We start from the raw sequence: 14950 nt of genomic DNA, 5'->3' as shown, positions 1-14950 counted from the left end.
AAAATAACAGCTAATATGTATTGGCCATTTACGGTCTACCAGGCACTGTTTAAGTCCTCTATATTGGTCACATAATAAGTGCTATGTTAATTTCCACTTTTTTGGATGAAAAACCTGCCTGAAGGTCAGAGTGCAAGTCAACTATAGAGCCAGGATTTAAACTCAGTCAACTATTATCCAGAGCCAATGTTTTAAACTATAATACTGTAAAGAAACTCTTAATCTGAAGTCCCATACCTCTTAACTTAAAAAGCACAAACTGCAGCTTGGAAACACAATGATTCTGACATGACTATTCTCCTATGATATAAACATTTAAAATTTTCCCTCTCTTGTCCTGTCCTCCTCATCCTCAAAAACCAGCAGAGTCATCTAACCAGCTGCAATCCAGCTATTGCAATCCAGCCAGTAGACCACACAGCCAGGGGGCAGAAGGAAGAGAAAGGAGGGAGAGCTGTGTATATTCTATACATAGCTGCATATACTTCTCCCCACCACCCCCAGATATCTGTGACATTATAATGCTGAGAAGTTAGGTTACACAGCACGTATTAATGCACAGACTTAACCATTCCGTATTTTTTAAAGTTAGCCACAAAGTATTGTACAAGCCAAAATGGTACATGATTTTTCATCTACAGACTATATAGTACAGGTTGTTGTACAGTTGGTATGAAGTTATTTATCAGCAGGTTTTTCAAACTTGGCAGCTCTTTCTTATCCCTCTCTTGGTTAAGACAAGTTTTTTCACTGCATTTAAAGTTCAAAGACACAAGACAAGTGATTTTTGCCAATTGTTCTTATGACTTGGAAGCAATGGACACTTGTTCCTGAGCCTCTCTGATTTTTGGCACACAGGAGATAAACTCTGAGAAACATACACCCACTGTTACATGGAGGAGAAAGTACAGACATCAAAGCACCATTTACTTTATTTTTAGATATCATATCAAGGCTATTCAGGTTTCTTAAGAAGATCCAATAGAAAAAAGAAAAAGAGAGATGAGATTATCACTCTCATGCTTATGCAATACGATGTCCTAAATAGGTTCCAGTTCATTTTCTTTAGACTTCAGCCATCAGAATATATTCAGACCCTCCCCGTCCCACTGCCCCGGCACCCTCCTGCCTGTTTGCCAGATACTTCCTTGGAAACACTTTGGTAGGACACAAATACAATGCATGCAAGACAAATCAGCATAATTTTCAAGTAACTTGCAGCTTCCAGGAACACTAATTTCAGTAATAACTATATGCCTTCACTTCCCAAAACATTAGCACTGCTGTCAAAGAGATCTGGGTCATTTTCCTGGCTTTGAAGCTCTTTGTTTCTTCAAAGACTACAAGAGGCAAACCAAGAAAGCAAGAGAGACATGCACCAGGAAAATTATGTGATTACTGAAGTAATAGATTCCTCTAAGTGTAACTTTCTTTTGAAGCTTTGGAGAAAAAAATAAAAATTAGAGGCCGGGCGCAGTGGCTCACGCCTGTAATCCCAACACTTTGGGAGGCCGAGGCGGGCGGATCACGACGTCAGGAGATCGAGACCATCCTGGTTAACACAGTGAAACCCCGTGTCTACTAAAAATACAAAAAATTAGCTGGGCATGGTGGCGGGTGCCTGTAGTCCCAGCTACTCGGGAGGCTGAGGCAGGAGAATGGCGTGAACCTGGGAGGCGGAGCTTGCAGTGAGCCGAGATCGTGCCACTGCACTCCAGCCTGGGCGACAGAGTGAGACTCTGTCTCTAAATAAATAAATAAATAAATATAAAAATTAGAAACTAGCCTTCAGCAGGACCATAGAAGACAAAATCTCCATTCTTTCAGGGCTGTCCCTATCAACAACCATGTTTCTAGGAACAGCCTGTGCACTGGTGAAGAAGCTAGTAAAAATATTCAGGTTCACAGCCAACTCAGAGCCACAAAGACCAGCAAACATACTGAGATGGAGCATGGATGGAGCATGAACTATGTGGGAAGCAGGAAAAATTGTGGAGTGCTAGAAAAGACAGACCTGATTGGGGTGACTGAGAGCAACCAGGTTTGGTTCCAGGGAAGGAGGTATGTCTGGTCCCTAGTCATCAAACTGAGAGCAGTTTGAGACCAGCCTTTCCTGGTCCTCTGGCCTCTCCCACAGTGGTGAGGCATCATTATTCAGTCAGCAGAGTGGCCTCTGGCACATGCAGGAGTCCTGGAAAAGGACTTGAGAGAGCTGACAGTCTCTGCCACTGGATTTCTATTGTATGTTGACAGATTACTTGACTTCTCTGAGTCTTGGTTTCCTGATATGCAAAATGGTGATAATAAAGCCTGCCTTAACTGCTTCCCAAGGTCATCAAGAGGGTCAAATACAATTATATGAAAGTGTTTTGCAAAGTTATAACAGCTAGAAGTTGCAGGCCTAGAAGCTGGGCTTCCTAAAAATTATACAAACTTTGACTAAATGAAGGCAAGTACAAGTTACAACTAGAACCCAATTCTCCATACAAATAAACCTCTGCTATACCTATATACAAGCCAGTCAAACAGACTACCAGCAACTGAGAAACCCCTAATGTTGGCCATAGGCAAGACAGCTCATGAGTGGCTGAGGTTTCTGGCCAGAGCTCAGAGTCCCACTGGTGAAACGACGTGGTAGCTAGTTCCTCTGCTGTCTATCCTGTACCCTTTCCTTCTTCCAGAAAAGCACTCTTTAGCCTCAAGTGCCCACTTTGTCCTCCTCCTCTCCCACCTTGTGCTTACAGCCTGCCCCTCCCTGGCTACAATAGGTGGTGGAGGGTGGGACTGCATGTGACCACAGCAGGACCAGTCAGAAGGCTGTTTTGAAAGGTTTCAAACTGGAACTAAGAGGAGAGACCCCTCCCAGCAGACACTGGGGGGATCTGCAGCTTGGGAATCACGTGAAACCAGTTTTTCACTAAATGCAGGAAGTTAGTTTGAGAAGAGGAAGTTAACACTCAGAGAGGCAGAAACCCTGGACTCCTGCTGCTGCAACACCCTAGGGCCAGATGTCCTATGCTCTCCACCACCCCTGCTCCTTCCTGGGAGGATGTGAACCTGCTAAGGAACTCCCAAAGAAGTTCATGTTTGATTTTGTAACACACAACCCAGGTGCACTGACCCCACATTAAAAAATGGCAATTTCCATACTAAGGCAGACTCACAGGCTATTCAAACCAGTATCCGGTTTCAGGAAAGCACACCAAGGGATGTTTGCAGGAGGCTATGGTTGTCCTCAAAAATGTAACCTGCTTTGAATGGCTTTTGAAACATCCTAGTTTGCCATTGGGTCCAATACAGCTCTGTAAATGTATCTTTACCTCTTTTGCACCTATTTGTATTTTCAATCTTTATCCACTTTCAAAGATAACCCATTCCAAATATGTACTGTCTACTGTCTGAAGCAATAAGTATTACACCTCTTCAATGTTCAAAGCCTAAAATACAAATTCTCTTTGTCAACTTGTTTCATATCACTGTGTGAGTTTCTGTCCTTATCAAAATTAAGAGGAAAAAAACAGCCCCTACCTCTATTAAATCAACTGAACTTTCTCCAATTTTATGTAGAACAGCACCATATAAACTTTTATGTAACCCCAATCTCCCTGAGTGTTTTAGTGTTACATTAAATAAGTAGTAAGGGTAAACAATGAAATAAAGGCAAAAATAGAAAAATAAGAAAAAAAAATTTAAGAAGATTGGAATTCATTTTGTAATGTAAACAACATGAAAAAACTGGAAAGAAATATCTCCAAAATTTTTATTTTGGGTGAGGATGATGGACAAATTATTTTATTCTTTATTTTTTTCCCCATATTACTAGAATTTCTATACTGGGTAAATATTATTATTCTAATTATTTAAAGTTATCAAAAAAAAAAACCACTGTGAGAAAAACGTGTAAATGTAGAGTTAACTGGTCAAAAGAAGGTTAAAAGGCAACAACAATAACAAAAAATCTTTAAAAACAATCAGGCAAAGGTAGCCAATCATGCAGGAGAGCCTTACCAAATGTTGAGACCTAGGCCCTCGGAGGAGTAAGCCAGCCTCCAGCTTAGCTGTTTCGGGGACAGATAATGAAACAGGGACTAGAACATGCAGCCCCAAATCCCTTACATCCCCTTGCCACGGGGTGGCCCATTCTGCTTTAGCAAACAGTCATCCTTAGACAAGGAAGTCATAAAGGTAGCTCTGAATAAAGGCCTGGAAATCCTACGTGACATGCTCTACTGTTTGGAGGTTGTGCTCTGAAGCAGAAGGCTGAGGTGCCCACACTGAGAAGCGAAATGGCCACTCAGGGAAAACACACTTGGACTCTCTCTAGCTCCTGGCATGTATTAGGTGTTCAATACATATTTATATAAAAATGGCACTTAAATGAATAATCATGATGAAATGTGTAGGTGGTCAAAGAGGTACCACGAACCTGGGCAGTAACAAGAGGAGAGACCCATGGGAAGGCTTCCTGGTAGAGGTGATACTTGAGCTGGGTTTAAAGGATAAGTAGGAATTTGCCAGGTAGATAAAGTGAAGAGCAGGCAGGATTCCAGGCAGACACAAAGTCAAGACGGAGAAGCTGAGCTGGAGCAAATGGCTTAGCTTTGTGGAAAATAAAGTTGAATGGAACCTTGAGGAAAGGGTAGAATTTGGATAGAAGTAGAAGGGGAGGAAAAAGCAGAATAAGCAAAGACATTGCAGGAAGAAATGGAATGTGAGACTTTTATTCGTTCAGTAAATATTTATTGAAATATCTACTCTGTCCCAGGCCCAGGGCTAAAAGCTTGAGGTGTAAGAAAGCTTATGAGTAACTCAAACCACAGATAACAACCCCATGAGACTGGTACTCTTCTCCCCACTGTGGAGATGACAAAAGTGAGGCTTTATAGTGAGGAAGTAAACCACCCAATGACACAGAGCTAATAAATAGCATAAATCTAGCTTTTAAGTCTGTGTTATTATAGCCAGGCTTTGGAGCACACTGACTGAGTTGTTTGTTTTTTAAAATCACAGTCTCAGAGGATGTGGGAGAATCCATGCAGTCCCTATTCTGTTACTCAAATAAAAAATCATGAACACTGCTTGCTTTCCTTTTATGAATTTTTTTCTGACCTGGAGGATAAATATGTGGGAGTCATGAGTTCTTACTTATAAATGTCCCAAGTATTTTGGAACAGTTACTAAAGGGACAAGATCAGACTCTGGAAACAGCCTGATTACACCAACTGGCAACTGAAGTCCATCCACTTCAGAACGTGCTCAGATAGATAGCAAGGGGAGCAGATCCAGTGGCCATCTGAGAAAGGTCAGTCGGGTCCCACCGAAAAACATTTTGCAAAAACAAAGCCAGACTGAGATTCATGTGGAAAATGTTAAACACGCTCTATGCTGGAAAACTCTGAGACTCCTACACTGCTGACTGCCTGCAGTAGACTATTCGGTAAATGACACATCTTCCAAAAAGCTGAGCTTAATTATTCCGAGGTTGTCTAAAATCAGCACTTGAATTGGCCAGGTTCTCTATCATGTGCCAAGTGAAGTTCATCTCTTCTGAAAATAAGGAAGCTTTCGGCCCTCACGTATATTTCTAAACACAAACATATACATACATACCGTTTTGACAAAGAACAAAAATCCTGCTTAACTTTTTCTTCTGAGATTAACCATGAGCCATTAGGTAAAGAAGGGAAAAGAGTGTTTTTTAGTGTCACTGAAAAGTCAGTTAAATCTATAGTAGTTCTTCCTTTGCCATACACTTTAAACCTTTACTTTTTTTCCTCCCCCAAAACAAGAGGCATTTCTTTGGACTTATAAAAAGCTACAATTATGCCAGTTGGTGGACCAAAAAAAAAAAAAAAAAATCTTCAAGACTGTAATCAGAAATAACATTAATATAAATTTTCTCCATCATTAAATAAGAAAATTAGTTTTTCCTTTTAAATTTATTTTTTAAATCCTTTAATTAGAACATAGTTCTAATGCATGAATTTATACAATCCTTCCACATCTATTTTTGCATTCCAATTGGAAAGATAGCTCTGGTATAATCATTTGTGATTATCACGATGCCTCACATAAAAAGCTGTTATTGTATTTGAAATGTCTAAGGTAGACAGGGATTCTTATCTCCCAAAAAGCAACCCATCCTCTACCTCCATGAAACTGCTTTCTGTGGAGAAATAAATAATAAGTGCAATCTTTCCTAAAATACTTTTTAACATGTATATTCATGAAATAAAGGGGGATAACTTTATTGCAAAACTTGTCTCTAACTGAAAATTCGAGTTGAGGTGCAGTTTCACCTCAGGACTGTTTAATCAGGGGGCTGATTAAGGAATATTTTAATCAGCCTAAGTGAACCCAAATGAGTTTTGTTTTAACAGGCCTGAAATGATTTTTCTTCTTTTTTTTTTTTTCAATACACAATGTTAGGGTTTCCCAATTAACATTTCCTTGGAGATGAACCCAATTAATTGTTCAGCCCCCAACAGCAATAAATGCAGTCTTCTAAACGCAATGAATCAGGTGACCTCTCACACCTGGGTACATCCCAACTTAGTAGCATTAACAAGAAAAATGGACTTAAGAAAAACATTAAAAATATGACTCAAACATTTACTTTTAGGGCAGAAAAAGAGGGATGGAAACTTATACTACTTTCCAAAAAGTAAAGTAATGGCCTCTTATAGAAATTAAAACTGCAAACAGGCTAGTATTCCCAGGCCATTTTACAGAAACATTTAAGACCATCCCAAACTAAAAGAAATGCTTGCCTTGCTGAAATGGGAAATGGTTCTGTCTTCACCAGCCTATGAAAACCAACGTCCCAAGTCTGCATATCTCACAGTATCTCTTCCAAGTTCCAGATTTGTTTATCTGAGATAGCCAGCTTCTCCAAACAAACTGAAAACTAGAGGCAAAGATACCTAAATCAAACATTTAAATATATCCTTCAAGATATAACACAGTGCTGTGGCAGGCAACTCGATGAACAGCATGAATTAAATGTTGGAAAAAAGTATCATTGCAAGGTTAGGCATCTTTACCCTTGTCTCACGGATAAATCCCTTTAAAGTTCTGTTGGCCTGTGGGTTCATGTGCTCACTTTTCAGTACACAAAGTAAGTTCTTCAGATCCCAAGTTTTCTAAAACCGAATACAAGCCGCCTCCGCCAAATACTTTTGAAAAATGTTTAATAATCTTTGTTTTCTTTATTAAGGGCCCAGCTTTACTGGAGTATGGTGCTCCCTCAGCCAAGGGCATATCGTTTCCAACTCCCGAATGGGTAACTAAGCAGGCTGATTTCTCATCTTCTGGAAAAGACGACAACTACATCTGGGAAGATGAGCCTCACACTCTGCACTTACATGCACTTCCTTGACCATATAAATTCTGGCCCACCACAAAGAGGGCCAAACATGAGGCTTGTCATTCTTATATCCCAATCTAGTTCCCAAAGTCTTTACTGCAGTGGTTCCTGGGGTGGGGGCAGTGGTTTCCGGACCAGCAGCATCAGTATCTCTTGGGAACTTGTTACCAATGCACATTCTCTGGCCCCAGCCCAGGACCTACTGAACCAGCACCTCTGGGAACTGAGGCCCAGCTCCCCAGGTAAATGATGCCCTCAAGTTTGAGAACTAGTGTTGCACTGCAGTCGCTGTCAAACCTTGTTGTACCCTCAGAGCCTGCAGGTGGCGCTAAAGGCCAGAAGGAAGAATTGCAGGAGCTGGTAGCTCAAGTTTTTAACTGTTAAGAGTTCCTGCCCCCCTGACCACACAGCTCTTTCTAGCAGTTCCAACAGCTGCTCAGCCTCCCCCAATGCCTTAAAAGGTCACAGTAGATCTCAGCTCTGAACAGAAACTCAACTGAAACTCTTCCCACAACCCAGCAGTAGATATATTAAAACCTACAATTTTCAGGGATACAATCAATATTTAATTCTTTTGAGGGTTTTGTGTTTAATACAAGGACACAAACACACGTATAAAATGACGATGTCAATACTGATTAAACAGAACAACAAAATAAGAAGCTCAAATTATCATCAGCTATTGTGTATATCTGAAATAACAATAATGCACTTGATTCTGAAAGAATGATTAGAGTTCCTACTCTGAAAATCTAATTGTCTTGATGTGACGAAGTGAGAAGAAAGGATGATTTTTCTAATGAAAAGCATGTATACGGGTAGCCCTTTGCGAGATTCTGTCAAAACCCTGAATTTTGCATTAGCTGTTTTACCACCCAAACGTTTTTACCGAGGATGTGCAGCAATGGGAACTCTCATACACTGCTTGTGGGAATATAAATCAGTATAACCACTTTGGAAAACCATTTAACATTGTCAACTACAGCTCTACACACAAGTACTAGAACCAGCCATTCCACTCCAGGGTATACACCCTAGAGATATGAGTGCCCATGTCTACCAAAAGCCGCCTAAAGGAATGCTCTGAGAAGTGTAACTTGTAATAGTTGCAAACTGGAAACAACCCAAATGTCCATCCACAGTAGAGATACATAGTATGGATACTCATACAATTAAACAGAAGCAGCAATGAAAAAACTAACCAACCAACCAAACAACTGCTACAACATGAATGAATTTCACAACAAGGATGAATCTTTCAGAGTGAAAGAAGCCAGACACAAAGGGTACACTCTTATTCAAACAGGCAAAACTAATCTCTGGTGACAGAGGTCAGCATAGAGGTTCCTGGGGCTATCTAGGAACAGGCATGAGGCGTTATTGGAAACAGTCTACATCTTGAACTGGGGGATGGTTACTAGGGTGGTGTATACGTATGAAAAGTTCAGTGAGTTGCATACTTAAAATCCGTACACTTTATGTATGTTTTATTTTTAGAGGCAAAAAATATTATTGACAGCCTGTCATGTAAACATTTTCAATAACCATCATAAAACTCTAAATTCCTGGGAAAGAATATTGTTATCAGAGTATATTTACTGCCACAAACACTGCATTTGCTGAGCTAAAGTCAAAACTTAATACAGGGAACAGGAGATGTTCCTTTTTTCCAATGTTACATATATAAAAAGACCAAACCTTTCTGGCTTGCACTCCCTAGGCCAAATTCCTTTAACTGTGTCATTTAATCGGTCCTTCCTTGTGTGGCACTGGCTGTCCACTGTCCCAAGCCCTCGCATGTCCTGGATGGCCGGTCATCATCCACACGGGGGCTGAAAGGCCCGGCTCCAGCACTCCTGTGGTCATCATCCTGCTGAATCGCTTTGAACTACCCTTGGCCTAACCGCGACTCCCATCCCGCTTCCCTCCTGCCTCGCCACTGCAGGCCTGTCCCTTTGCTTTCTTAAAACTGCGCACCGTCTGAGGCCACTTCGAGCCTACTGGATCCCTGGTTCCAACCCAGTAGGATCACAGAAGCAGGGCCAGCTGCCAGGTAGGGGACACCAAGGGCAGAAACCTCCGGGGCCCGCAGCGCACCGGTGACCGCGAACCCGCGTGGCTCCCCTCAGGCTGAGTCGGCTTCCACCCTCCCACCCGAGCCACCGGGGATCAGGGCCCGGGAAACACGCTCGGTCCTTTTCGGCGCTTCCGGGTTTGAAAACCGCGGCTTGCTATGACGTGTGACCAAAATGCGGGGCCAGCTGTCCCAGAGAGAATCCCATCCCGCGCCGGGCCGGGTAGTGGGAGCCACCGGGGTGGGGGGCGGCGCGCCCGGGGTCGCGGGCCGCTCCGCCAGTTCTTGGGCCGACCCCGCCGCCCGGGCGCGCGTGTTTACCTGAAACCAGGAACACGTGCTGCCGGGCGCCAACCCCGTCCCCGCAGTCCACGCCAGCGGCCATGCCGCCCGCCTCTTCCGGGGCGCCGCAGGCTCAGCGCCGCGGGCCTCAGTCTCCCAGCCCCGCCGAAAATGGCGGGAGAAGGGTCTGTTCCGGGTGGCGCGGCGCGCTGAGGGACCGGCAGCGCCCGGGAGGAGGCCCAGGGACCGAATTTCGTTTCGTTTCCGAGACCAGCCTGCTGCTCGTGTTACGTTTTTAAATTTAGCGCCAGGCGAGGGGCTCTGAATGCCGGCCGGTGGCCGCAGGCAACGGGAAGGGGCCGCGGCCTCTCCCTCGCGGCTCCGCTAGTGGTAGGTGCTCATCGCGCGCCGCAGGGCGCCGAGTGACGCGGAGCGGGGCGGGGTCGCCGGGGCCCCGCGCTCTGTGGCTGCACCCAGCGGCCCTCCATGGTCTAGCCAGCGGGCTAGGATTGGGTCTGCGGGGTGTGTGCCCGGACAACGGGTGACGCCCGCCACACCCCCGGGGCCGGGGGACTCACCTGGAGCTAGTCCGTGTTAAGGACAATAGCAGTCACATCGGAATCCGAATGCAACTCTTAGCCATGGTCCTCAATTATTTGTGAATATATATTGGTCATCAGTTGCATTCTGTGTTGCTATTGATGTGAGAATATGTGTGCATTGTGAGCTACAAGGGATGTCCTCAATTTGGACTCCGTCCTCATCACTAAAAGAGGTGCACAGTTTTGGGCTCAGAATATGAATTTGTTGTTTTGGAGAACGCTGTATACTGAGTTAAAAACTTAGACATTTATTTAAAAAGTGATGTTTAAAAAGTTAGAGCCATGAAATTTGGGGATTTAAACTTTTAAAAATAACATTTTAATTGAAAAGTGTTGTTTGGTACATGGTTTTTAAGAAGAAAGTACATATTCCTTTCATACTTTAGAGAAAAGCACGGGCCAGGCGCAGTGGCTCAGGCCTGTAATCCCAGCACTTTGGGAGGCCGAGGCGGGCGGATCGCCTGAGGTCAGGAGCTGGAGACCAGCCTGACCAACAAGGTGAAACTCCGTCTCTACTGAAAATACAAAAATTAGCTGGGTGTGGTGGTGCACATCTGTAATCCCAGCTACTACGGAGGCTGAGGCACAAGAATCACTTGAACCCAGGAGATGGAGGTTGCAGTGAACCGAGATCCCACCACTGCACTCTGGCCTGGGCTACAGAGCTGGACTCTGTCAAAAAAAACAAAAACAAAAAAATCCACAAAAACCTATTTTTTTTTTTTTTAAAGAAAAGCATGATGTATCTCTTTTATCCCAGATCCCAGGGGTAACTGTTAACATTTCTTCTCTATTCTTGCAGAATTTTTCCATGCAAAAACAAGTTAATGTCTTATTTTTGCACAATTGAAAGAATAATATACATAACTCATGCACTTTGCTTTTCATGTTTAATCTTGAAGATAGTTAAATTTAGCAGCACTAAATTTATCTCGGCCCTCTGAAAAGGTTTTTAACTTCAAACCTGTTTCCCATGGGGTGAGACCAATACAGCTGCAGTTGATTGCAGGACACAGCTGGTGGAGAAGAGGCCTTTCTGGCTGAGGAAAGGCGCCTCTTGCCAGTTTTGGGGCAAGGAGCAGCAGATTGGTACTGCTCTGATCTTCCCTCTCCCCCAAAACGACTGTAGAAGATGCTGTGGTGTATAGCACAAATCCCCAGGCACACCATCGTCTTACTAACAGCTACAGGAGCACCCCATTATTCCTGTAGGATGGGATCCAAAACCCCCAGTGAAGGCCTAAAACCGCAAATAGTACCAAACCCTAATATACTGTTTTTTCCTTTGCATGTATATCTGTGATAAAGTTTAATTTGAAAATTAGGCCCAGTAAGAGATGAACAACAATAATAATAAAATAGAACAATTCTCACAGTATGCCAGCATCACTACTCTTGCAGCTACTAAGTGACTCATAAGGAGGGGACCTTCTGCAGTGTGGATCCGCTGGACAAAGGTAGAATTCAGGTCCTTTGCAGGACGAAGCTGGATGGTGCAAGATTTCTTCACACCACTCAGAACACTGTACAATTTAAAACTTACGAATTGTTTCTGGAATTTTTCGTGTAATATTTTTGGACCAAGTTCGACTGGGGGTAACTGACACCTTGGAAAGCGAAACTTCGAATAGGGGGAGCTACTGTACATGAGAAATGTTACCCATGATTCCCTTGCTCAGACATACATACCTGTTTCATTTTTCTCTGATCCTTTCTAGCCCTTGGCTGTATTAATGTATATTTTTGTGGTTGTTGTCACAATTTAGACTGTTTTGTCTGCTTTTCTCACTTAACATTGTCATAAGCATGTGCCCCTTCATATCGAGAAGTATCATTGTTAATGAAGGCATGATATTTAACACAGCTGGTGTACTAGGGTTAGTTATCCATTCCCTAGTGTGCAGTATTTAGGTTATTTCAAACTGTTATTATAAATAATGCTACCATGTGTATTGTATATGGGCTATGTATACAGCAGTTTGACACAGTGATTGGTGTACATATACAAACAGATGCTTTGTATCTAAAGAAAAAAATTTAGATGCAGGAAATTATTTTTAGCAGAATACCATGTAGGTAAATTTAAAAGGCACAAAGAACAACACGATGTAATTTACAAGGATACATGCATATTTAAGGCCATGTCAAGCACATAAAGAAATGGGTGTCTTTACATACATGTGGCCAACAAACATATGAAAAAAGTTCAACATCACTGATCATTAGAGAAATGGAAATCAAAACCACAATGATATACCATCTCATGGCAGTCAAAATGGTGGTTATTAAAAAGTCAAGAAACAACAGATGAGGCCGGGCACGGTGGATCACGCCTGTAATCCCAGCACTTTGGGAGGCCGAGGTGGGCGGATCACCTGAGGTCAGGAGTTCAAGACCAGCCTGACCAACATGGAGAAACCCCATCTCTACTAAAAATACAAAAAATATTAGCCAGGCGTGTTGGTGCGTGTCTGTAATCCCAGCTACTCGGGAGGCTGAGGCAGGAGAATTGCTTGAACCTGGGAGGCAGAGGTTGCAGTGAGCCAAGATCGCGCTATTGCACTCCAGCCTGGGCAACGAGAGCAAAACTCCGTCTCAAAAAAAAAAAAAAAAAAAAAGAAACAACAGATACTGGCAAGACTGGGGAGAAATAGGAACTCTTTTACACTGTTGGTGGGAATGTAAATTAGTTCAACCATTGTGGAAGACAGTGTGGTGATTCCTCAAAGATTTAGAGCTGGAAATACCATTTGACTCAGCGATCCCATTACTGGGTATATACCTAAAGGAATATAAATCATTTTATTATAAAGATACATGCATGTGTATGTTCATTGCAGCACTATTCACAATAGCAAAGACATGGAATCAACCCAAATGCCCATCGATGATAGACTGGATAAAGAAAATGTACACATACACCACAGAATACCATGCAGCCATAAAAAGGAATGAGATCATGTACTTTGCAGAGACATGGATGAAGCTGGAGGTCATTATCCTCAGCAAACGAATGCAGACGCAGAAAACCAAACACCGCATGTTCTAACTTATAAGTGGGAGCTGAACAATGAGAACACATGGACACAGGGAGGGGAACAACACACACTGGGGCCTGTAAGCGGAGGGTGGTCGGGGAGGAGATCATTAGAGAAAAGAGCTAATGCATACTGAGTTTAATGCTTAGGTGATGGGGTGATAGGTGAAGCAAACTGCCATGGCACACGTTTACCTATGGAACAAACCTGCACATCCTGCACATATACTCTGGGACTTAAATAAAATATGGGTGTCTTTAATATGGAGAGGAATGGGAGAAAGCATGGGTAAGGAATGAGGGGCAGGAGAAATTAAATGAGAGGCCCAGGCTCGTACGGGTAACGGTTGCTATACTCTGTGAATGAGAAAACAATGAACTCTGCCCTTTCTGTAAATAATTTCCTTTATCATTAAAAAAAATTATGTAAGTACCTTTTTGAAAAGGATACCATTACTGATAGGCTGACTCCAGATCCCTGTTGTCTTCAAGGTAAAGTCTAAGGTGCTAAGCTTTGAACACATGGCCCTTGAGATCCGGTCCTGGCTGGACTCCCCAGCTACAGTTCCCACCACCTATGTCGCTCTCCACCCAGTCCACAGTGTGGCCACAAGGAACTGCCTGTGGTTCTCTTCTCTGTCACATCTAGCACTTGGTATTGTGTCCCCAATGCTGAGACCATCCTGTTCTCCACAAGCATCATTCCTTCCCTTCTCCCTTACCCTTTACCACTGCCAGGACAACTCTCACTCATCCATCAGGTCTTACTAAGTGCCTTCTCTTCCTGCCTCCTAATACTCTTCCCAAGAATAAGTGAGATGCCTCCAATTTCACCAGTGAGAGGAACCAGTCAGTTCCTTGAGGGAAGAATAGCATCTAGTAATTCACCACTATCTTGTCAAAAAATAACAATGGCTTCACTGAGTATTAACTATGCTGAGCACTGCACTAAGCAGTTAACTCGAATGACCTCTTTCAGCCCTCCCACAGCATTAAGGGTAAGTATTATTTAGTCACCCACATTTTACAGAGGAAGAATGTAGAGTCGAGAGAGATCAAGTACCTGCCTATGATGACATGACTAGCAAGTGGCTGAGCAGGAATTCCAACCCAGGCCTTAGGACTCCAGAGACTGGGCTCTTCACCTTCCTTCCCTCCCTGGTGTCCCCATGCCTGGGACAAAATAATATGGAAACATAGCATGTGCTCAGCAAATATTTTTTGAGTAAATATTTATGCGGATAGCTAAGCTGTCGTGGCTTGTGGTATTCCCAATTTTATAAATCAAAACAAATTGATTACATCTAGTATATCATAAAACAGTCTGTGAATTACTTGCAGTACTAGTCTGTACTAGTTCTGTACAAAGAATAAGAAGGGAGCAGCAACTTAACACCTCTTGAGTAGAAAATTTGAGACTCTTCTAAATGCTGGAAACAATAGATGTTTGGTTTTTAGTAAAAAGAGAAAAAAGAAAAAAAAAACTGGGTGGGGCACGGGAGAAGAATTCAGTGCCAAATAACCTTCAGCAATGCTTAGTGGTAATTAGAGCAGACAGACATTGTATTAAAGGTAGTGGAAGAATATTT

The 14950-nt window shown here is 42.9% G+C and overlaps 1 protein-coding gene and 1 long non-coding RNA gene across 11 annotated transcripts in view, besides 5 other annotated features; one reads left to right on the top strand and one right to left on the bottom strand.

Moving 5' to 3' along the window:
• Positions 1 to 10224, bottom strand: part of RNASEH2B (ribonuclease H2 subunit B) — a 60783-nt gene extending 50559 nt beyond the window's left edge. For 5 of the 10 annotated variants that reach the window (XM_047430613.1, NM_001142279.2, XM_047430617.1 and 2 more), the window contains exon 1: positions 9762 to 10224. In XM_047430613.1, coding sequence (XP_047286569.1) covers positions 9762 to 9825 — 64 coding nt within the window. In that variant the 5' untranslated portion in view covers positions 9826 to 10224. Of the gene's footprint in view, positions 1 to 6770; positions 6886 to 9064; positions 9257 to 9463; positions 9653 to 9761 lie in introns of those variants that run through there. The other 5 variants (NM_001411023.1, NM_024570.4, XM_047430615.1 and 2 more) reach the window with 4 other exon arrangements.
• Positions 2562 to 2711: an enhancer, noted in NCBI's record as "active region_7771". NCBI's record gives its function as "activates an Ori minimal core promoter by ATAC-STARR-seq in GM12878 lymphoblastoid cells {active_cell/tissue: GM12878}" and the evidence as "EXISTENCE:reporter gene assay evidence [ECO:0000049][PMID:35858748]".
• Positions 4910 to 4999: an enhancer, noted in NCBI's record as "active region_7770". NCBI's record gives its function as "activates an Ori minimal core promoter by ATAC-STARR-seq in GM12878 lymphoblastoid cells {active_cell/tissue: GM12878}" and the evidence as "EXISTENCE:reporter gene assay evidence [ECO:0000049][PMID:35858748]".
• The window catches only part of RNASEH2B-AS1 (RNASEH2B antisense RNA 1), a 28335-nt gene continuing 22574 nt past the window's right edge, over positions 9190 to 14950 (top strand). The window contains exon 1 of the long non-coding RNA NR_046552.1: positions 9190 to 9419. This is a non-coding gene — a long non-coding RNA (RNASEH2B antisense RNA 1). The remainder of the gene's footprint in view (positions 9420 to 14950) is intronic.
• Positions 9357 to 9406: a silencer, noted in NCBI's record as "silent region_5363". NCBI's record gives its function as "represses an Ori minimal core promoter by ATAC-STARR-seq in GM12878 lymphoblastoid cells {active_cell/tissue: GM12878}" and the evidence as "EXISTENCE:reporter gene assay evidence [ECO:0000049][PMID:35858748]".
• Positions 9617 to 9856: a silencer, noted in NCBI's record as "silent region_5362". NCBI's record gives its function as "represses an Ori minimal core promoter by ATAC-STARR-seq in GM12878 lymphoblastoid cells {active_cell/tissue: GM12878}" and the evidence as "EXISTENCE:reporter gene assay evidence [ECO:0000049][PMID:35858748]".
• Positions 9867 to 10296: a silencer, noted in NCBI's record as "silent region_5361". NCBI's record gives its function as "represses an Ori minimal core promoter by ATAC-STARR-seq in GM12878 lymphoblastoid cells {active_cell/tissue: GM12878}" and the evidence as "EXISTENCE:reporter gene assay evidence [ECO:0000049][PMID:35858748]".

The sequence above is a fragment of the Homo sapiens genome, chromosome 13, assembly GCF_000001405.40.
Source record: "Homo sapiens chromosome 13, GRCh38.p14 Primary Assembly".
Taxonomy (NCBI): Eukaryota; Metazoa; Chordata; class Mammalia; order Primates; family Hominidae; genus Homo; species Homo sapiens.
This window is presented reverse-complemented; position numbering and strand designations above follow the sequence as displayed.